At 47.6% G+C, this 22,042-nt stretch overlaps 1 protein-coding gene across 26 annotated transcripts in view; it reads left to right on the forward strand.

Annotated features, from left to right (window-relative positions):
* The window catches only part of CCDC136 (coiled-coil domain containing 136), a 31,370-nt gene extending 9,684 nt beyond the window's left edge, over nucleotides 1–21,686 (forward strand). For 3 of the 26 annotated variants that reach the window (XM_024446874.2, XM_011516483.2, XM_024446873.2), the window contains exons 5-19: nucleotides 742–1,065; nucleotides 4,206–4,317; nucleotides 4,915–5,080; nucleotides 5,317–5,457; nucleotides 5,793–5,951; nucleotides 6,244–6,414; nucleotides 6,916–7,101; nucleotides 9,006–9,200; nucleotides 9,695–9,922; nucleotides 10,837–10,908; nucleotides 11,356–11,868; nucleotides 12,264–12,485; nucleotides 14,194–14,475; nucleotides 15,170–15,487; nucleotides 21,355–21,686. In XM_024446874.2, coding sequence (XP_024302642.1) covers nucleotides 742–1,065; nucleotides 4,206–4,317; nucleotides 4,915–5,080; nucleotides 5,317–5,457; nucleotides 5,793–5,951; nucleotides 6,244–6,414; nucleotides 6,916–7,101; nucleotides 9,006–9,200; nucleotides 9,695–9,922; nucleotides 10,837–10,908; nucleotides 11,356–11,868; nucleotides 12,264–12,485; nucleotides 14,194–14,475; nucleotides 15,170–15,487; nucleotides 21,355–21,465 — 3,200 coding nt within the window. In that variant the 3' untranslated portion in view covers nucleotides 21,466–21,686. Of the gene's footprint in view, nucleotides 1–741; nucleotides 1,066–4,205; nucleotides 4,318–4,914; nucleotides 5,081–5,316; nucleotides 5,458–5,792; nucleotides 5,952–6,243; nucleotides 6,415–6,915; nucleotides 7,102–8,091; nucleotides 8,321–9,005; nucleotides 9,201–9,694; nucleotides 9,923–10,817; nucleotides 10,909–11,355; nucleotides 11,869–12,263; nucleotides 12,486–14,193; nucleotides 14,476–15,169; nucleotides 15,488–17,313; nucleotides 17,421–18,686; nucleotides 20,601–21,354 lie in introns of those variants that run through there. The other 23 variants (XM_047420722.1, XM_024446872.2, NM_001367763.1 and 20 more) reach the window with 20 other exon arrangements.
* Nucleotides 21,687–22,042: the final 356 nt, after the last annotated feature.

A 22,042-nucleotide genomic window follows, 5' to 3' on the forward strand; every position in this document is an offset into this window, starting at 1 on the left:
CACACCTGGCTTTCTTTTTTTTTTTTTTTTAGCGAAGACTGGGTTTCACCATGTTGGCCAGGCTGGTCTTGAACTCCTGACCTCAAGTGATCCACCTGCCTTGGCCTCCCAAAGTGCTGGGATTATAGGCGTGAGCCACTGCTCCCAGCCTATCATCAATTTAAACAATCCCTTATCGACTGACACTTAGATTATTATCCCGTGTTTGGTTATTATGCAGTGAACTTATATTTGAATTTGAGTTGTGAACTCTAAATGCACATTGTTTTAGGTCCAGTACTTACCACAGGTAGGTCATGGGAACTCTGAGGCTCTGTAATTTCTGAGCTCTCAGGATGAATAGGTGAAAATAGTCTGTATACATTTTTTGAGTCAGGGGATTTTTAGAAAGATTCAGGGCATCAAGAAAATACTATAAATGAAGTTAGGTCTTTAACTGTCAGGTGATTCCTTAGAAGCATGAAATACTTTTTGTTTACAGTAGACTAAGTGATTGTTTTGGTGCCAGGCCTCAAAATCTACTTTTCTATTGGACCTTACTACATAGAGTCACTCTCTTTTCCCTTCTTAGGTACTCCTTTTATTCCGTCCGGCATGATGCTACACTTCTCTGATGGGGTAGAGACAAGGTTTTCAGGACTTTGCAGACAAGAAATAAGTCTCCCTTTAATTTTGTGCCTCTAGAACATGGTAGGTTAGTTCACCTGCCCTCTTGATCATCTCAACCTTTGGACTTTGCAGGTGAGCTGCGTTCTCTACGGGAGGAGATTTCCCTGTTAGAGCATGAGAAAGAAAGCGAACTTAAGGAAATAGAACAGGAATTGCATTTGGCCCAGGCTGAGATCCAGAGTCTGCGGCAAGCAGCAGAGGATTCCGCAACTGAACATGAGAGTGACATAGCATCCCTGCAGGAGGATCTCTGCCGGATGCAGAATGAACTTGAAGACATGGAACGCATTCGGGGAGATTATGAGATGGAGATCGCCTCCCTCCGTGCAGAAATGGAAATGAAGAGCTCTGAACCATCCGGTAGTTTAGGTCTCTCAGATTACTCTGGGTTACAAGGTATGAGAGCCATCAAGTGGGTCAGTAAAGTCAAGCAGAGGAAAGGAGATAATATATAGGAAAATGGTAGAAGGTGGTGTTAGATCATGAATTGGGAATCTCTAGAAAAAACCTCCAGGTTGAATTCAAGACTGTAGGGGTCCAGGCGTGATGGCTCATGCCTGTAATCCCAGAACTTTGGGAGGCCAAGATGGGAGGATCACTCGAGCCCAGGCATTCATGAGCAGCCTGGGCAATGAAGTGAGACCCTATCTCTTTCTAAAAGAAAAATTTAAATAAAAATTTTAAAAAGACAGTAAAGGGGAAAAACCTACCCAGATGTTACATAACCAGTCCATGGTGGTGTAAGAAATAGCACCATGGAGAGGTACCCTGGGAATTCTTCAGAGAGTCATTGGGTCTTTGTTGATTTGACTATGGGAAAACCCTTCCTGGGAAAATTTCCAGCTCTAGGATGGGCAAAGAGGGACCTGTCACCTTGGGAAACTCTTCCTGCTGCCCTGGCATCATGGTGCTTTGCCTGGAATGCTTTATAGGGGGCCTCTGGCCCTGCTTCCAGGTGCAGGGATGCTAATTCTTAGGTTCCATTAGCTCTCCTCAAAATAGAAGCTTTGGGGGGCAACAAATCGGAACAAAAGACAGCTAGAGAAGAAAAGTTATTCTGAGTGATACATGAGGTACCCAAAAGCCTAGAGCCCTGCTTTCAGACAGTGAGTCTCCCAGCTAGTTGCTAGGATTCATGACATCAGAGAGTTTGCCTTTATTCTGAGGCTAGATTTATAATCTGAGTATAATGGAGGTCCTATATTTGGCCAGGTCAAGCAGAGGCAATCAACAAGGAATCAAAGAACTGCAAGTTTTTCCAGCTGTATCAAGCCTCTCAGAAGAGCCTTTAGATTAAATGGTGCTGGGAGAAGAAGGTTGGCACAGTGGGAAGGCTTGGGCTGGAGTCAAACAGACCTGAGTTCAGTATCTCAGCTCCACTAATTAGCAGGATGAACGTAGGAGGTCTGGTTATGGTCTTTCTCTGAGCCTGTTTCTATATCCAGGATATGAAATCAAAATTGGTTAATAAAACCTTATAGCTAGATGGGATCCTGAAACAGGAAAAGGACCTTAGGGAAAATGTAGAGAAATCCAAGTAAACTATGGAGTTTAGTTAATAGTAATGTATCAATATTTGATTCCTTAGTCATGACAGGTATATCATGGTAATGTAAGATGTTGACAATTAGGGAAATTGGGTGAGAACCCTCCCAGGAAACTCCGTACTACCTTTGCAACTTTTTTGTAAATCTAAAACTATTCTAAAATTCAAAGTTTATTTAAAGAAGAAAAAAACCTTACAGAGCTATTTTGGGAATTAAATGAAATGTGAAGCATGTTGAAATCACTTGCACACTTACCAAATCTGAGGCTGAAACTATCAAGTCTAATGCTTAGCGCATGGTTAGTTTTCATTAAAGATTAGTTTCCTTCCTCCCTTATATGGTAATCTGCAGTATTCTAAGGAATTCTGATTAGAATTAAGAGGAAACATTAGAAGTTACTTTTAGGGTGTTGAATCTTCCAGCAGGTAAGATAGGTCTTGTGTTCTAATTAGAGCAAGTTAGTGTTCTTTAAATATCAGTAGAATTAATGTTCTAAGAGACATAATTCTTTTTCAATTTTTTGCTAGTGGACACAGAGTCTTGCTCTGTTACCCAGGCTGGTCTCGAACTCCTGGGCTCTAATGATCCTTCTACCTTGGCCTTCCAAAATGTTGGGATCACAGGTGTAAACCACTGCACCCGGCCAACATAATTCTTAGTCATGAAGCAACAAAACAGATACAGGTGTTTGTATCATCACAGCCTTAAAAGTGGGCATGGTGACTCATGCCTGTACTCCCACCACTTTGGGAGGCCGAGGCAGGTGGATCACTTGAGCCCAGGAATTTGAAACCAGCCTGGGCAATGTGGCGGAACCCCATCTTTACAAAAAAATTCAAAAATTAGCCAGGCTTGGTGGTGTGTGCCTGTAGTCACAGGTACTTGGGAGGCCGAGGTGGGAGGATCACCTGAGTCCAGGGAGGTCAAGGATGCAGTGAGCCATGACTGTGCCACTGCACTCTGGTCTGGATGGCAGAGTAAGACTATCTCAAAACAAAACAAAACCAAAAAGGAAAAAGTATAGGTATAGGTGACTGGTGCTTAGAGACATGTGCTGGAGTATTTCAACCGGATCTCTTCTAATGCTTGAGGATGATATGTGAGTCTGGTTAGGATGGGCCTGTCAGCAGATAAAAGGCCATTAGAAAGAATTCCTTTTTTTTTTTTTTTTTGAGACAGAGTCTCACTCTGTCACCCAGGCTGGAGTGCAGTGGCACAGTCTTGGCTCACTGTAACCTCTGCCTCCAGGGTTTAAGCAATTCTCCTACTTCAACCTCCTGAGTAGCTGGGACTACAGGCATGCACCGCCACGCCTGGTTACTTTTTGTATTTTTAGTAGAGACAGGGGTTTTGCCATATTGGCCAGGCTGGTCTCAAACTCCTGACCTCAAGTGATCTGCCCACCTCGGCCTCCCAAAGTGTTGGGATTACAGGCTTGAGCCACTACACCTGGCAAGAATTCTTTACCACATCCAGACCAATGTATTTGGTGTGGGAATAAAGAACATAAAAGGAAACTCAGAATGCCTGAAAGGCAGGTACTGGCAGTCACATCTGACAGTTCACATCTCTCAGCTTTTTGTACTAAAAGCATAATTGGAAGGTAATCATAAACAGTTGAATGGAAATTTTACATACAGTAAACTTTTGAAAGTTTTTACATACAGTAAAAATTTGAAAGTTAATTAAACTTTCAAAAATTGCTAAAAGTTCAAGAGTCTGCTTCGGTTGAGGCTTTGAAGATGAGCACACAGGGTAAATCTTCAGGGCAGATGAGAAGAAGGACAGCTATTGGGAAGAGGAGAAAGACTCACTGCACTGTGGAATTTCCTGGGCCCTGTCTTCTAAGCCTCTACCTTTTTTCTGTCTTTAGAAAAAGAGAAGCTCTTTAACCTTCTGCTCTCAGGTTTCAAGACAGGAAAACTGGGGGCTGGTCATCAGTGCTTTCCTTTCCTCCCGGTCTCATCTCTCTCTGCCTGTCCTCTGCAGAAGAACTGCAGGAGCTGCGGGAACGCTACCATTTCCTGAATGAGGAATACCGGGCCCTGCAGGAGAGCAACAGCAGCCTCACGGGGCAGCTTGCAGATCTGGAGAGTGAGAGGTACAGCTGTCTCTGGAGAGTGAGAGGTCATGGGGTTCCACAGGACTCTGCCTTACCTTGGGCTTTCCCTGAAGGCAGATGCCAGGGCAGTGAGCGTTCCTTTGCTCCTGGAGACCCAGTCCTTTCCATGGTTTCCAAAGGATACAGATACCACCTACAAGCAGACATGGGGATCCGACCCAATTATCTCAAGACTAGAGGGAGTGAGTTCTGAAGTTTACTTCTGCTCTAGGCACTGGGTTCTGGTTTGCTCTGCCCTAAAGTGGATCAGAAGAGATTCTTTTATTGTCTGCATAGACTTGTTTCAGTCTAATGGCAGGCACAATGCTTCCAGATTGGAGTGGGCTTGACTAGGCCTAGCCTCAAAACTAACTGGACTGGCACTCTAAGGGTCTCCCAGAGCCAAACACACCTTTGCAGATTGAGGGGCTGGAGACTTTCTGTAGTCTTTTAAGCATGTTTATCTGAGCGGTGAGTCACAATAGAAGGCCCCTTACTATCTTTGGCCTAAAATGAAGGTATCAGGACAAAGCCTGCATGGCTGGTGATGCCAGGCAGAACTCCCTTCAAGCATAGCTCTGCGGTTCTGAATTGCAGGACACAGAGAGCAACAGAGAGATGGCTGCAGTCCCAAACACTGAGTATGACGTCAGCAGAGTCTCAGACTTCAGAAATGGATTTCTTAGAGCCTGATCCTGAAATGCAGTTGTTACGGCAGCAGCTACGGGATGCTGAAGAGCAGATGCATGGCATGAAGAACAAGGTAGGGCACAGAGGGTGGGGAAGGCAGGCACATTTCTTGTCTTTCTTTCACCTTCTCCCAGCCTGTGGTAGAAACATCTCCATAGGCATCCACTGTGGAGGGAGATAGTACTCTGGGGTCTCACTTGCCTGATGTAAATCTTCCAGTCAAAGAGCGCCATGCTTTCCCCAAGCTTGTTCTTGGAGCATATGTGGTATCTGTAGTAAACAAGCCTCCCTGTTCCATTTCCCACATAGTGTCAGGAATTGTGTTGTGAGTTGGAAGAGCTACAGCATCATCGCCAGGTCAGTGAGGAGGAGCAGAGGCGGCTGCAGAGGGAGCTCAAGTGTGCTCAGAATGAGGTGCTTCGGTTTCAGACCTCCCACAGTGTCACCCAGGTAAACACTGCCCGGGGAGGCATCTGGGGTGGGGGCAGAAGGGCCTCATGGAGGGGCTGCTTCAACCGGGGTGGGCACAGTGAGTATGGCTGTGCTCTGCTGACTCTTGCCCTGCAACTGGGCACAGTCTGCTGGAAACCAACTGTAGAAGTCATATAGCACTGCATTCTAGAAATGGTGGTCATTACTGAGTGTCCATCTCACAGAAGAAACCAAACCCTAGACCTGTGGGAGCTCCTCAAGATGTCTGCATCTGAAAAGGAACCCAACTGATCCGTAGAAAGACCTGCTGTTTCTTGAGAGTAACTGTTCTACTCACATCCTCCCTACCACAGAATGAGGAGCTGAAGTCCAGACTCTGTACCCTGCAGAAAAAATATGATACTAGCCAGGATGAGCAGAACGAGCTCTTGAAGATGCAGCTGCAACTTCAGACTGAGCTCCGGCAGCTCAAAGTCATGAAATCCACACTTGTAGAAAACCAGAGTGAGAAGGTAACAGCAACCAGAGGTGAGGGGACAACTTAGGTGCTAAGGGCATCCTTCTGAGGTTTTGGGGAAGGTGGATAAGAGTAGTGAGTTAAAAATAATTCCAGCAACCACATAGGCAGCACCACAGGTAAAGAACTCCAGCCCTGCTCGAGTACTACATTAGATATGAGGACATTAGGAAGTGAAGGGCAGGAAGAAGCAAATCTTAGACTGTTGGTGTCTTCAAGTGACTCACACAGAAGAGTGAGTGGGTTAAGGAGCCCAAAGGCACTGCCCAAAGCCCCCTCTACCATAGGAGTTACTGTGCCGGCTGCAGAAGCTGCACCTCCAGCACCAGAACGTCACATGTGAGAAGGAAAAGCTGCTGGAACGGCAGCAGCAGCTGCAGGAGGAGCTGCAGTGCCATGAGGCAGAGCTGCAGCACCTCAGGGATACGGTGGCCTCCTTCAAAGAGAGCAATGAGAAGGTAAAAGAAGCTCCTGGTGAGGGAGGATGTAGCCAGGCATCATCTTGTGTGAGGGTGAGAGCACAGAGGACGAGAGGGAATGGTAGGAGTGTGGAGGAGCTGGCAGTGAGGGGGCCAAAGAGGTGCTTAGGAGAAAGGTGACCTCGGGGAGTCACAAGGCTCTCAGCTTCCTTTGATTTTAAATCAGAAAAGCAGCATATAAAAAGGAAGTCCCTTTGCCTCCCCACCTCCCAAAAAAGGAAGCCCCAGAAGGTCTGTGTTTCTTTTTAAATTATTTTTATATTTATTTATTTATTTATTTAACTGGAAAGGCTGCACTGGGAAGGTCTGTGTTTCAAGCCTGTCAGGGACGGGTCCATCTTGGGTATCTATCCCTGGCTGGGATGAAATTGGGGCTGAGAAGGACAAGGGAAGATGGGTCCCCTTAGTCCCCGCCTGGGAGGAGAGAGTCCAGCAGCAGGAGTGCCTGGGATGATGGCCAGGCCTGCCTCCCCTGCCCAGGACACAGAGACGCACGCTCAGCTTCAGGAGATGAAGCAGCTGTACCAGGCCAGCAAGGACGAGCTGGAGCGGCAGAAGCACATGTATGACCAGCTGGAGCAGGACCTCCTGCTCTGCCAGCTGGAGCTGAAAGAGCTCAAGGCCTCCCACCCCATTCCGGAGGACAAAGGAAAGTGTGCTAATAAGGTAATTGTCGTTCAGAGAGGTGACAGCTCCTGGGCACTTGCTCCAGAGAGAAGAGGTACAGAGGCAAAAAGTGAAGGCACCCAACCCAAGGGCTTGATGGCCTTCCTAGGCAGGAAGCAGAGGCAGGGCCACATGCTGCTAACTTCAAAATTGTTTGCCCTGACCTTGACTTTGAGCCAGAGCCACAGCTTAGTAGGATCAATACCTTTGGATCCCAGTCTGAACCCCTGAAAGTTTTACACATGATTCCATGTATGTAGACATTTATACAATGGTATTAGAACTGTAGTGATATCTAGTCATTCTTGGAGGGGAACATATACATGGGCCCATTACACAAATATTATTGTTGGAACTAGAGAAAGGGGCCAGTTTTCTGGGTCAGATTGCAAATGGTCTTATAAAGGGGTACGGTCTTGTGCCCAGAGTGCTGATTGGGCAAGAGAAGGACCTAGGCTCTTCTAGGATTTATTCTGTGACTTTGAAGTAGTTAAATTCTTTTTTTATGAAATGGAGTCTCACTCTGTCGCCCAGGCTGGAGTGTGCAGTGACACGATCTCAGCTCACTGCAGCCTCCGCCTCCTGGGTTCAAGCAATTCTCCTATCTCAGCCTCCCAAGTAGCTGGGACTACAGGCACATGCCATTGTGCCTGGCTAATTTTTGTATTTTTAGTTGAGACCGGGTTTCGCCATGTTGGTCAGGCTGGTCTCGAACTCCTGACCTCAGGTGATCCACCTGCCTCGGCCTCCCAAGGTGCTGGGATTACAGGCATGAGCCGCCATGCCCTGCCAGTAATTAAATTGTGGAAGGTTGAATTGTGCCCTCTTTAAATGGAAGAGAATACTACTCTTAACTCACTTCCTTTTAGCAGTAAATCCTGGTAGTGATAAATAAGGCCTTATTCATTTTTTTTCTTTTCCATAGTGTATAAAATGCAAGCCGTTATCATTTATCCTGTTGAGCACTTTCAGCTCCTGATTACTGATGGGAAATGGAAAGGTGTTGAAGCATGTTGGAGAAGAGGCCCAAGAGTCTCTAACGATGGTGGAGTTGGTCACATTCTGCCAGAAAACTCAGTAGTTCCTGTCCCTGGGGAAAGGCCTTCAGGAGACGGAGGACTGGGAAGGTTATTTGGGCCACCTCAGCAGTCTCTTTGCCTTTCTATATCCAGGCTCACGTTTCCTCCTTTTTCCACTGCTACTCAATTTAGGAGCCCAGGTGATCTGTGACTTGCTCGTCACCTCTTCCCCTAATGGGAAAAATGATGGGAAAGGAGAAGCATGCTGGCAGACAGCACCTGCTTTTTCTCTAGCCGTAAAACAGCATTGAGATCTGTCTGATATTAGAAGATCTGGGTTTTTGGAAATGGGATGATTTAGTCTTCTCAACCCAAATTTACCAATAGCGCATACTTTCTAAAGATTTAAAGAGAGAATTAGGAAAGCAAAAATGGGAAAAATTAGGGTGAAATTAAGTCCTTATTTGTAAGGAGTGTAGTTGCATTAAAAAACAACTGGGGTTAATGAGAATAACAGGAGCTAAGAGTTCCCAACAGGGTGGGAATATGGTGTATAAAGGAAAGGGCCGGAGAAGAGGAAGGGGGAAATGAGAAAGGGGCATCGATAGCATTCCCCATCAAACTGCCCCCAGAAAGGAATGGTGGAAGTTTAGAGCAAGGCCAGCCACCAGTCTAGAGCAACCTGCTCTGAAGGAGCAGCCTGCAGGGGATCCCCAATCGGTATCTAAACAGCCAGAATGCATTGTGGCTTGGGGTGACCAGTCCAAGGTGACTGCACAGGGAGAGGATCACAAGAGGCAGGAGAGCGCAGAAGTGCTCTGTTAGCCACCCAAGAAGCTTACCTTACAGAGTAACCACCCCCTCCACACCCGCCCCCACCCACAGTGTGACACACTGCTGTCCAGACTGACAGAATTGCAGGAAAAGTACAAGGCCAGCCAGAAGGAGATGGGGCAGCTGCAGATGGAGCAGTGTGAGCTCCTGGAGGATCAGAGGAGGATGCAGGAGGAGCAGGGCCAGCTGCAGGAAGAGCTGCACAGGCTCACACTGCCACTGCCAAAGAGTGGCCTCTTACTCAAGGTAACTCTGCCACAGGCAGCTGCTAACTGCGGGGAAGCTGCTCTGAGAAGCTTCCCTGTGTGACTAGGGAAAAATAAAAGGGTGGGGATTGAACTTTTTCTCTTACCAACCACTCCTTACTTTCTCACCACTCTCCCCAAACCAAAAAGCTCCATAGAGCCAATTAGAGTTTTTCTTATAAGGGCTTTAAATCTTAAAATACCTTTTATACTCAGGAATCTGTGCAGCAGTTTATATTTAGGTATTTAGTCCATCTGGAGAAAATGCACCTGAAGCCACTTTGTAAACTACAAAATATATCCCAACACAAGAGACCACTGCCACTTTTAGCAGGTCTCCATAGAAGGGCTCCCCCGTCCCCAGATGGGCTCTGTGAAGTCAACCCTGAGATTCTTCAGGGAATTGTTCACAACGGGGATGAGGCACCAAGGAGGCATCAGACTTCCTGTGTGACCACCACCATCCCTTGCCTCCTTCCTTCTACTCCGCCTCAGAGTCAGGAGCTACTCACCAAGTTAGAAGACCTGTGTGAGCTGCAGCTGCTCTACCAAGGCATGCAGGAGGAACAGAAGAAGCTGATACAGAACCAAGACTGTGTATTAAAAGAACAATTAGAGATCCACGAAGAGCTGCGACGTTTCAAAGAGTCTCATTTCCAGGAAGTGTTGGAGAATCCCGATGATTCCAAATTGGCTAAGTCCTCCAAATGTAATCGAAACAAGGTAACCATAGCAAGAGGTAGGGAGACAGTTCTCCTGAGCACAACAGCATGGCAGAGAGAGTGGGCACCGCCGAAGGGTCAGAGTTGGGAAGGCGTGTTTGGCCAGGGGTAAGGATAAGGCAAAAGCCCTGCCTTTCACCAGCTGTGACCACTCACAGGCTCCATTAAGAGGTGGCTTTTAGATACGGCCTGAGGACCTCACCTAGATGCCATTATCCTTTATCACACTGATATTCACAGTGCCCAGTTGAAGCACTATGAGCACTCAGGGCAGAGCTGGGATGACCAGAAGTCTGTCATCAGATCATTCGACTCATTCCCAGTAAGATGTATAATATCAGTTTGGTGTTTGTTTGGATTCCTTTGGACTGACTCTAAATGTCATCTTTTTCTTGAGTGGAAAAGTACACTTCTCAGTTATCAAAATCTATCACCTTTGGTGTTCTCTATGAGGCAAATTTGGGGCCTTTCATTTCCAAGAGAAGAATTCCTAGCATATGGGGTTCTTAGTACTGACCACACTATCTTCATTGGAACTTTGGTGGCAGTAACAGAGCAAGGTCACAGGGGTTAGACCAGAAAATTGATGCCTCTCAAGTACCAGCAAGAGGTCATTCAGATGAGGTGACACAGGTGGAGATCACCATACAATTCTCTTCAGGGTTGGGGGATAAAGTTGTTCTGAGGTCTCAGCGTGGGCAAGGAGGGGCAGGTAGACAGTTTCGGTTTAGGCCAAATCTATTCATTCAGATCTTATTCTGAACAAGGAGAACCAGGGAGTAGCAGAAGTCAACACTGTGAGGCTGGATCATATTCCAGGGGCATCAGATGTCCAGGCTGGAGGCCTGGGTAACACAGCTGGGAACCAGGTATAAAATATTTCCTTAACTGATCAGATCTCATCCTGGACATCAGCAGCCAAGAAGCCAGGCCCAACATGCCCAGAGGCCAGATTCAGAATTGGGGCAGGAGATACAGGAACTAATAGTAAGACTTTGATTCCAATTCTTCATATTGCCGCATTCAAGGCCGGGGCTGATTTTAGAACTAGGGGTGGGCGAGGGGACTGAGCCTGAAGGTCAGGATAACAGGTATACCTGACTGAGAAGAGGGTGTGGTAGGGAGCCAGGGTGTTCTGGAAACCCACTCGGCACTGCTCCAAGGAGACAGGGATGTACCAAAGTGCAGAAACCAGCCGAAATGGGAGCCCGGAAATCATGGAGTATCTGCCCTGGGGAGATTTTCCCAAATGAGCAAGAAACTGATACATGCCAGTTACCTATAGGCTAAGTCAGAGACATAGGCCGGGGTGAGGTGGAAATGTAGGTGTGCCATTCTCTAAGGTGTGCTCTCAGACATCTGTACCAGGAGAGGTGCAGCTGGAAGGACTGAAGTGTCAGAGTAATGATACTGTCTCCCCACCCCTGCCCCCAGCAATCCAAGCTGCTCATGGAGCAGATGCAGGCCCTGCAGGTGATGTATGACGCCGGTCAGGCGAAGCAGGAGCTCTTGCAGCAAGAGCAAGGGAGGCTCCTAGAGGAGCGGAAGAGGCTGCAGGCAGACTTGCAGCTCTGCCTGGAAGAAATGCAGCTGCTTCAAGTCCAGTCCCCTTCTATAAAAATGAGCCTTGAGTCCTACGGGAAGAGCTATGGTAGCATGGTCCCCAGCAATGAGAACTGTCGCAAGACTTATGATACCACTGTGGATGACAATGAGAGCTATTACAAGAGTTACACCAGCACCCAGACCAGCAGCAAGAGCTTTCTCAAGAGCTATGACAGCAGCACCAGTGCCAGTGAGGCCTATGGGAAGAGTTACTGCACTACCAGCAACAGCAGCATTACCTATAAGAAGAGTTACGGCAGCACCAGTAGCTCTGACACCTGCCAGAAGAGTTTTGTCAGCAGCTGCACTGACGAGGAACCTGCTGAGCCTGAAGACATGGAGGTAATGGTTGCCAGGTGACAGGTCAGGCAGGGGACGATGGACTCTTGTCTTTTTAAGAGATACATCGCCAGGGGAAGGGGCAAGAAGTGTGGGAATGGGGTCAGAACTGACCTGGGGAACTATTGGAAGTAAGCGAAGCCCTCTACCCATGGCAGCCTGGTCTCCCGCTCAGCCCTCTCATAGAGAGAATCCCCCATCTGGACAGAGGCCCATAAGATTCAGTCCGTTTCCTCACCACAGCCACGATGCTCTTTATGGGGGTAAATATAGTAATCCCCCGCGGGCATCTCTGGATCCTGGTGGCCATTGTTTGGTATCCAGGGAAGGGCCCAGCAGAGTAGGGCGGAGCTTAGGTGCTCCTCAGGGTGCTATTGTTGCTCCCCCACCCCCCGCAGCGCTTTGAGGAAATGGTTGTGAAAGTGCTGATCAAGCTGCAGGCGGTGCAGGCCATGTACCAGATAAGCCAGGAGGAACACAGCCAGCTGCAAGAGCAGATGGAAAAGTTACTGGCCAAGCAGAAAGACCTGAAGGAAGAGCTGGATGCCTGTGAAAGGGAGTTCAAGGAGTGCATGGAATGCCTTGAAAAGCCCATGGCCCCCCAGAACGACAAGAATGAGGTAACCACTGTCAGGGAGGCAGGGTTTCCTCTGGCAGCCCCTGGAGCCATAGAGGTCATGGCCACTTCATAGAGGCTAAAGAGAGGGACAAAGCAGGGAGAATATGCACCTCAGAGGCTGGGCAGTCTGCTCCATCCCTGATGACATTTCCCAAGTGCCCGTGGAGCTGGGGTTTACTAGTCATCAGGACTTCTCTCATCGAATGATTTCTCTCTTTCTCCCTTTGCCACTTCTGTTCTCTTTTGCTTTGTGTTCTAGACCACTTCTGTAGAACTGTATTTTTGCATTTGCCAATCTTCTTTCATCATTTTGTGTGCATTTGCCTTGTCTCCCGGTGCACCAACTAGGAGCACCAACTAGATTGCAAGCAGCTCAAGGACAGGGACATGTCTCCTTTTGGATCGCTCACAATGCCAAGAAGAGTGCTCTGCACCCCCTAGGAATGGGACAGAAGTCTTGTCTCTGGCCAGGGGTTCACGGTCCAGTGGGGGTCTCTTTGTATACACACGGGAGAGATTCAGAGAGCAGCGAACACATGGGTCCAGATTGGCTAGTATTGGTACCTACTGAGGGGATGGTTGTGTGCTGCCATCAGCCAAGGAAGACAAAACCCGAGATCAGGGAGCAGGATGTGACTTGCCTCTGTTTCCAGGGTGAGGTGCAGGAGCCCAGTACACACTTCAGGAGTGTACAACACAGTTCTTTAAGTAATTGTTCCTGTTAGAGAGATGGGTTGGATGAAGTAGGAGTTCCCATAAAAAGAATTCTAGGCCAGGTGCGGTGGCTCACCCCTGTAATCTCAGCACTTTGGGAGGCCGAGGCGGGTGGATCACTTGAGGTCAGGAGTTTGAGACCAGCCTGGCCAACTTGGAGAAACCCCATCTCTACTAAAAATACACAAAATTAGCTGGGCATGGTGGCGCATGCCTGTAATGCCAGCTACTCAAGAGGCTGAGGCAGGAAAACCGCTTGAATCCAGGAGGCGGAGGTTGCGGTGAGCCAAGATCATGCCATTGCACTCCAGCCTGGGCAACAAGAGTGAAACTCTTGTCTCAAAAAAAAGAATTATATAATAAATCCCTGAGGTTCAGAATTGGTAGCAGCCCTATTGTTATTCCCCAGTCACAGTAGAAAACACCATTTAAATCATTGTTTTGACCTTCTTTTTTTTTTTTGAGACAGAGTCTTGCTCTGTCACCAGGCTGGAGTGCAGTGGCACGATCTCAGCTTCCTGCAACCTCCGCCTCCTGGGTTCAAGTGATTCTCCTGTTTCAGCTTCCCAAGTTTCTGGGACTACAGGCGCGCTCCAATAAGCCCAGCGAATGTTTGTATTTTTAGTAGACATGGGGTTTCACCATGTTGGCCAGGCTGGTCTCGAACTCCTGACCTCAAGTGATCTGCCCACCTCAGCCTCTTGAAGTGCTGGGATTACACTGGATGGCAAGTGAGCCGCTGCGCCCTGCCGTTTTTTTCATCTTATTAGATGGACATCATCAGGTGCCTCAAGTTAGGAGAAGCTATTTGTAAAACTATTTGAGAGGCTCATTTTCCACCGTTGAATATTTTCTTTATTGTCTACTTCCTATGGGCTTTAACAGGGAGATTTCTGAGACAGTGACCCCCAAGCAGGGCTGAGTTTGGTTGCGTGGTCAGCCAACTGGTTGCATAACCAGCCAACTCTGGGTAACTGGCCCTCCACTACCAACAGATCAAAGAACTGCAGACCAAGCTGCGGGAGCTGCAGCTGCAATACCAGGCTAGCATGGATGAGCAGGGGCGGCTTCTGGTAGTGCAGGAGCAGCTGGAGGGGCAGCTGCAGTGCTGCCAGGAGGAGCTCCGCCAGCTCAGGGAGAAGAGGCCTTCTGTTGTCAAAGAAGCCCGGGGGAAGAATGCTAATAAGAACATGAACAAGAATGCCAATGGGGTTAAAATGAAAAAGGTGACCAAGCCATGCTCGGATACTTCTGAGAGCGACCTTGAGACCAGAAAGGTGAGTAGTAACCTTGGTAGCCAGATAAGCAGAAAGGAGGAGGAGATCCTGGGAAGAAGCATTGCCTCCACAACCCTTTCAACCAGGCAAGGGATTTGTAGAGAAGCTTCTGGGATCTCTGAAGTGTCTACAGTGGTTCCCATCTTAATGGAAAGTGGGTGCTCCCTTTTCCTGTGAAGTTATGGGGAGAGTGGAACACAGACAACTCACATCGGGAGGTGCAGCCCCAAAGGACCACAGCCCCTAGGCTGGACAACTCCTTCAGTTTGCCCAGCCCCATTTGTTGGGGCTCCTGTTCTTCCTGGGTTACATGCCCAAGAGAAGAACCAAATAGATGAAGAGGGAGGAATTTGTTCAAAGTAGTTATGTACTAATAAGTGAAAGAGGATTGGGTAAAAGAAGAGTCACTGTAGGGGTGGGAAGCAACAATTTAGGTGCAGAGCCCAAGACTCTTTAGTTGTGGTAGCTGTTTGAAATGGCTTAATGGCCAACAGACATAGTGGCCCTGAGAGGTGAGGTGTGATGCCCTCTACATATGCTCAGGGGATTGGCTCACAGTCCCAGAGCACCGGGCCACACCCTTGCACTCTGACATGCTGGAAGTCATGTTTCCTGGAGCTAGTACAGCATTGTCATGAGATTAGGAGCTTCACAGGTAACGCAGCCGCCATCCTGCCCTACTCCCACCCCACAGAGTCTGGAGGTAGTGCTGTACTACAAGGCCAGCCAGAGGAAATTAGATGGACTAGCAAAAGAGGAGGAAAAGAAAGAGGAGATGGAGGAGGAAAAAAAGCAAGTGAAAGAGGAAGCAAAGGAGCAGTGTGGGGATGAGCTAGTTGCTGAGCCAGCAGATCCTGAGGAAGCTAAATCCACAGAAGATCAGGAGGAAAATGAAGAGGACAAAGAGGAAGAGGAGAAGGAAGAAGACAGTGAAGAGGAGGAGGATGACGCCGACTCTTCCCTTGAAAGTCCCGAAGAAAATAACCCCCTCAGACTTTCCGAGAGCAAAAAGGTAACCAGAGCCAAAGCCTAGATCAAGTGGGAAGTGGGGTCTTGGGCTCAGATAACTCCGAGTTAATGGGTGGCCCTGCCAAGGATGGATATCTCCAGGAGTGGAGGCCTCGCGCTCTAAGGCACAACCCTTCGGGGAGGTGGAGATGCAGAAGTGGGAGATGAGAGCAGTCTGTCTGCACGAAATCATGGGCTCAGCCCCGTTTGCTGTGGAACCACCTCACAATGACCACCTTTTCTGGGAACCAGCGTGGGGTCTCTGGAGTCCTTTCATTTACGTAGTAGCCTTTGTTACCTTCCTTATGTCGGGAGTGTTCCCTCATCCCTCTTTTGGCACTGCAGGAAGGACATTGACAGTGTGAAGTCTACTTCAGGCCATTTCTGTCGGTCTGGGCAAGTCACTCAGTCCAGTTTTCCTATGGTGCCCTGTTAGGTTTAACCTTTGTTGTTGCTGTTAGGGGTGTGTCAGGGGATAATCTCTTCTTTGTAGGCTCATGTTGCCCCCTGGATTCTGTATATCACAGGACATGAAGGTGGGGCCTGGAAGTGATCAAGAGTGATAGTGAAAATATTTCACATCTGTACAGTAGGAGCATAGACTAGTCCAAGGAGACCATCCCTAGCCTTAACCCTTCAGTTGCTAGATCATTGAGAGGTTGGGGTGGAGGTATCCTGGGATATATATGCCAGAATGCCAGAGGTAACTTACCAACAATATAGAAGTACTTCCATATTTTAATAACTGGTACGTCTCTGCAGGTATGTAGCAACTGAATTCTTGCCCTGGACTTAACTCAGGGCTCAGAGTCCCTACAGAGTTAGAGTATTTCCTGTGTAAGTCCTCAGCTTACATTACAGGTTCTTTCTGTTCTAAACAGAGGTAAAGAAAAAAAGCCTCTTGTGGTGGGATTATCCAGTCAACTCTGAGGATATCTGGAATTTCCAGCAATTTGGTCTTCAGCACTGGCTAAGGATCCAGTGTGCAGTGCTCTGCTTACCTTGTGCCAGGGGACCATTACCTAAGATGTGGAAAGTCGGAACCACTGCAGCCCCTCCCACTATCATGTTTCCTTGAGCTCATCATATTCCACCACGTGCTGGTTCAGAGCCTCACAGATGTCTTTACCTTCGGTGCCACATTTCTAAAGCTAGACCTGATTTTTCTACTTCAAATATATTCTATGTTTCTATATATGGAGAGATCCCTTTGCCCCGTGGGTCCTGCGTCTTTTGCAGGCAGCTCTAGGGCATGTGTATTACCACCTTGCAAAATCGGTTTCTCTCTGGAAGATTGTTGCAGTGAAAGAACTAGCCCTTCTCCATTGTCAGTTTGTTTCGGTGCATGTTGTCTTACAATGATATCATTAGATTCCTAGGGGATCTAAGGGACCAGAGCCCAAAATACTAAGAAACTTAATGGAAAGCAGGCTAGAACAAAGGGACAGGTGACCTGGTAGAAGACTGGCTCTTCCTAGAGTGACCTAGGAAAAGTCACAAGAAAGGTCTAGATGCAGATACCTCCTGCTTGACAGGATATGAGAGGTATGTGACGAGACAGAAAGAAAACTGGACTCACCGCCTGACTTGGACCTAGCTGCTGCTTAACCCATTCAATTTTGCAATTCCTGCAGACTGCCGGTGGAAAGAACCAAGGCCCAGGCAGCAGAAAAGACATGCAACTGCTCTAGCTTACCTGTTTTTTAACCTCTTGATTCCTTTCTCTTTTCCCTTTGTTTTCTCATCTTCATTATCTGTTGGATCCATGCGTTTATGTCTCACATCTCCTGGTCTCTCCTCGTGCTTCTTTCTCATTTTGGTGTGTTGCAGTCATCCCCTACCCCCAATCCCCCCATCTTCTCCTTGCCTCTTGTAGGCCTGGTGGTCATCTCGGCTTTGCTCTGGTGCTGGTGGGCTGAGACGTCGTCCTAATGCAGGTACTGGTATTGCTTCCTCTCCTTCTGAGGGATAGAGGGAGGGTGCAGGTTGCCCTGGCCTCTCCTCTTTCCCTTTTCTCCCAGCTGCTTGCTTCTTGCTTGTGCCATTTTATAATAGGTGATGCTCAGGTCTGAGTTTTAGTTCTGACTTTTCCTTGGGCTACTGCAAAGCCTCTGACATCTCTGAGCATGTCTTCGTAATGCATAGGAGGTTGGAATGCTTGCCAGAGACATGGTTTGTTTCAATCCTTGGCTGGGAAAAACTTGGATAAGCCCAGCTTGGTTGCTGCTGTCAAAGCTGCCTCACTACTTCTTTATCCCCGCTCATCCTCTGTGTGATGGCTAGCCTGACCACTTCTGATGAGCTGATATTTGCAAGGCTGGCCTGGACTCTCTTTGTCTTGGTTTAACTCCGGAGCCAAGTTCTCACTACTGTTGCTACCCAAGATGGCAAAATAAGGAATCCCTCTTCTGTTGGGAGAGAGAGGAGCTCTGAAGAGCTCTGATCCTCATGATCCTCCCAGGGGCATTGGTAGGAGGGCAACCTAAGCTGGTCCATCAAGCTTGGTGAAATGGAACCGAACCCCTACTGTATTCTGCTCTTTCTACTGAACAGTTCTCTGCTTCTGGACTTCCAGTCTCCGGAAAAGTCAGAACAGAATGCCGGGAAATTTTATTAGTTATCTATTTATCTATTTTGTGGGCCAGATTCCATGGTAATTGGCTTCCCCAGCTAGGTTTTCTGGAGAGAATGAGGTATTAGTGAAAAGTTTCTACTAGCCAGAGATGTGTGTTCTCAGGAAATCAAGACTGATATATTCTGGCCACTTTCCTGTCAGCTCCCACACATGTAATGTACACTGTCAACAGGATACCAAATTCAGGAGGCAGAATGTGGTCTTACGGCCTAAGGTAGAAGCCTGGGGTTCCACCTGCCTTCTGGAACCCATAAGGTATTCTCTCTAGTCCTGCATTGGCTCCTCTCTCATGCTTTCCCTGCCTCCCCCTCCACTCCCCTCTCTTCTCACATTCCTGTGAACGGAATGTAGCTTAATGCACAGGGTGGCAACTGGAGGATTTGTTGGTGGCACTTCTCTCCATTTCCTTTTCTGTCCTTCCTCCTGCTCCCTCCCCAGCTTTCCTGTTACTCATCTTCAAGCCTCCACTTTTCTTCTTGACTTTAGGTATTCCCTTTACTCCCTGGTCCACAACTGCTTTAGTGACGGGGCCCCTCTCTATGACTGTTTCTCCCCTGTCACCCCCCAGAAGTCTTAAGGCACTACGGGTGAAACCCAAAGAGTTCAGCCACAGCCTTCCACTACCTCAGACCCAGCCCGGCCCAATCAGAGGGAGAGGAAGAACTGCTGGTGAAGGGTTCTCCTGGTGGGGCCTGTTATCCCCAGAGCTCCAGGAGGCCCCAACATGCACCTGTGCAGCCAGGACCTGAGGGAGCACAGTGTGGTAGAAAGCGTGGCTGCCAGGCGGTCAGAAGAACTTGGTTGAGTCTGTCTCTACTGACAGGCGTTGTCCCAGGGAGCAAAATGCACACTCTGAGCTCTAGTTTCTTCAAATGTAAGCAAAGGATGATCGAACCTCTGCCCTCCTCACAGGTTTTTGTCAGGACCAGATGGGTTGAAGTAGATGAAAGTATTCTATAAATTATAAAATACCCCATCATTAATAAAAAGAGCACGCACTTACAAAATGCAGTCTTATGTGTCAGGCACTGTTCTAATCACTTACGTATATTAACTGATTTAATCCTTGCAACAACCCCATGAAGAAGCTACTCCTATTTTTTTTTATATATGATTAAACTAAGGCATAGAGAAGTTAAGTAAAACAGCCAGGAAGCTGCGAGTCAGATTATAAGGACTCAATATTAGCAACAAATAAGATTCCAGTCTTGCTTCCCTTTATTGTCTCTCCTCATTTTGAGCAGTTTCTCTTCATTGGTCCCAAGTAGGAAGACACCATACTTGTGTTTAGGCAACCTCAGATCACATTAGCTCTTTAGGTAACTAATATATTATTTATTTATTTCATGTATTTTTTATAAGCCCCTCTGCAGATTGTGTATGCTAAGCGTCCTCTCCCCATTCTGTACCTGCATTTGATTTTGAGGCTTCAAAGGCAGAATTTTCCATTCTTCCCTATTATAGTTCATTGTTCTTACCTTATAAGGTTTTGTGTGTATGTGTTTTTAATCTTGACCCTGTGGTTTTAAAATATTCACTTCCTCTGCCACCTTCACATCATCTACAGGGGTGGCAAGCCCTCCTTCCCTGTCTTCATCTACAGAGGACAGAGTGAGGACAGAGCCTCTAGAGTGTCGTCTCTTGGGGTTCTTTTATTCAGCTCATTGGTCACTTACCTGCCATTCAACAAACTGTACTGTCATCCTACCCTTATTTCTGCATATTATCTGCAAAGATCATAGAAAATTCTGTCAAACAACTCAACGTCCAAAAACATGATTCCGGTGATTTGTCACTTAGGTCACCTAGTTTAAAAGGAGAGTTTGACACGACTTCCCCTTTGGGACACCCACACCAGCCCTTTCCCCATCCCATGTAGAAGCTTGCCTTTGCCCAGTGTGAGGTGCACGGGTCACATTTAAGGATTTCAGCTCCTCCCTCCTTTAAGAACACCAGACTAACATTCTTAGCAATGCACATTAGGATAGAGGCATCTGAGCATATAAATATTTTTTTCTAGCTAGCTCCCTTCTTAGTTTTTGTTTTTGGTTTTAGAGACAGGGTCTCGCTCTGTCACCGAGGCTAGAGTGCAGCGGCATGATCATGGCTCACTGTAACTTTGAACTCCCGGTCTCAAGCGATCCTCCTCCCTCAGCCTCCGGATCTCTTGGTTTTCTTACATGAGTTACTCTGTATATCCACCTGTAACATTGCTTGGCTTTCCATTTCATACCTTCTGTTGTTCTTAGTAGCTATTTCTATAAGCTCAGGAGATTTTCTTTGCTCTTTAGCAGGCTTAAAGTCCTCTTTTTAGATCAATTATCATCTGAGAAAATGTGTTCTTAGCATTAATGGGCTATATTCCATTTTTACTTGAAACCATCCTTCTGTTACCTATGCCATAGCTTATGACTCAAAATCCAAATTCTACCTTTCAGTTAGTAGAGTAAAAAAGTAATAAAAATAAAACCTATTTCCCCAAGTATGTATTTTCTTGTCTAAGATTTTCATATTACCTAATGGATGCTTTTTGGATATCTTCGATGGTGCCACTTGTCCCATGAATCAGCAGGGTTCCCTAGTGGCCGGCAGTGTCTGGAAGCCTCAGCATACTCTAGCACATGCACCAGGAAGTCAGTCAACATACCTGGTGATTAGGAGTGTTCTAATGACCTAGGCCCAGTGACAGGTTTCCTTAAATTTCCTTGAACCAATGTCATTCTCTGTCAAAGTTTGTCTGCCTAAGAACCTCCTACTTACCTGCACTCCGTGGTGCACTTTCTTCATTTCCCCTCAGCCTTATTCCCCCTTCCCCATCCTCTTGACTCTGAGTTCACTTCACTGCAGTGAAACTAATGAGGTGCTGCTGCTTTTCTCAAAGCCCCAGATTTCCCCTCCTCTTTCTTGCCATGGCATCCAGTCCTTTCTCATTGCAACCACTTGGAAGTCTGGCCCCTGAGCCTGCTTCTTCACATGGGAGCTAGTATTCTCAGCCCATGGGGAGAAACGGAGGCCTGAATACAGGCGGTCACCTAAGGTGGTGCGTACAGTGTTGGGCCACATGTCTAGTGGTGCCAGGACTGAGAGATCACTTACCTCCACCGGTTACCCAGGAGGTAACAGAGACTGATCCACAATGTTCCTGAGGTGTCTTGGGCACCCATAGGCAGGTGACTTCTGGCTTAGGGCAGGGTTCAGGAGGCTGGGCACTCACAGTTTCTCTTTGGTCCCCACAGAACATGTTTGGGTTGTGGAAGCCTATGGTATTCTTGGCTATTGCAGCTGTGGCTCTGTATGTGTTACCCAACATGCGACAGCAGGAGTCAGAGTTCTGCCTCATGGAGTGATGGCAGACCTTGGCCAGCGCGAGGGCAGATCCCCAGTGGCCACCACCCTCAGCTTTGGGCAGGACACACTGTGCCAGAACCCTCCCCATATGTTCCATGTGTCCCCATCTCCTCAGCCTCAGTCACCCAGGCTGAAAAGGCTTGTGGGGAGCGGCTGACTTCCATCTCCTGCCTTGTGTAAGAACCTGAGTTCCTTGTAATTAAATATCAACTGAATTACATGAGACTGTGGATTTTTATTTGCTAAATGCCTCACAACACAACCAGAACAGAGCAGTCCCCCTTTAACCAAGTACCTCACATAAGGGTCTGACTCCTAAATGCGGCTTCTCACCTTGCAGATGGCCTCAGAAATGAGGCTAGCCCCTTGTGCTGTCGACTGACTCACAGAGGGGTTAGTCTGTGCTTATTAACCCCATCCTGAGGTGCTCTCCTGAGCATGGAGAAATGGAGTGACTGAGGGCTGGGGAGACCTCCCCTAAGGTTCTGTGCCCACACCTATCTACATGAGAAGGCCGCCCTAAGAAGATCCACGTGTGTGCCTTCGTGACTTAGCCTTTGTGACTTCTCAAGGGAT

The sequence above is a fragment of the Homo sapiens genome, chromosome 7, assembly GCF_000001405.40.
Source record: "Homo sapiens chromosome 7, GRCh38.p14 Primary Assembly".
Classification (NCBI taxonomy): Eukaryota; Metazoa; Chordata; class Mammalia; order Primates; family Hominidae; genus Homo; species Homo sapiens.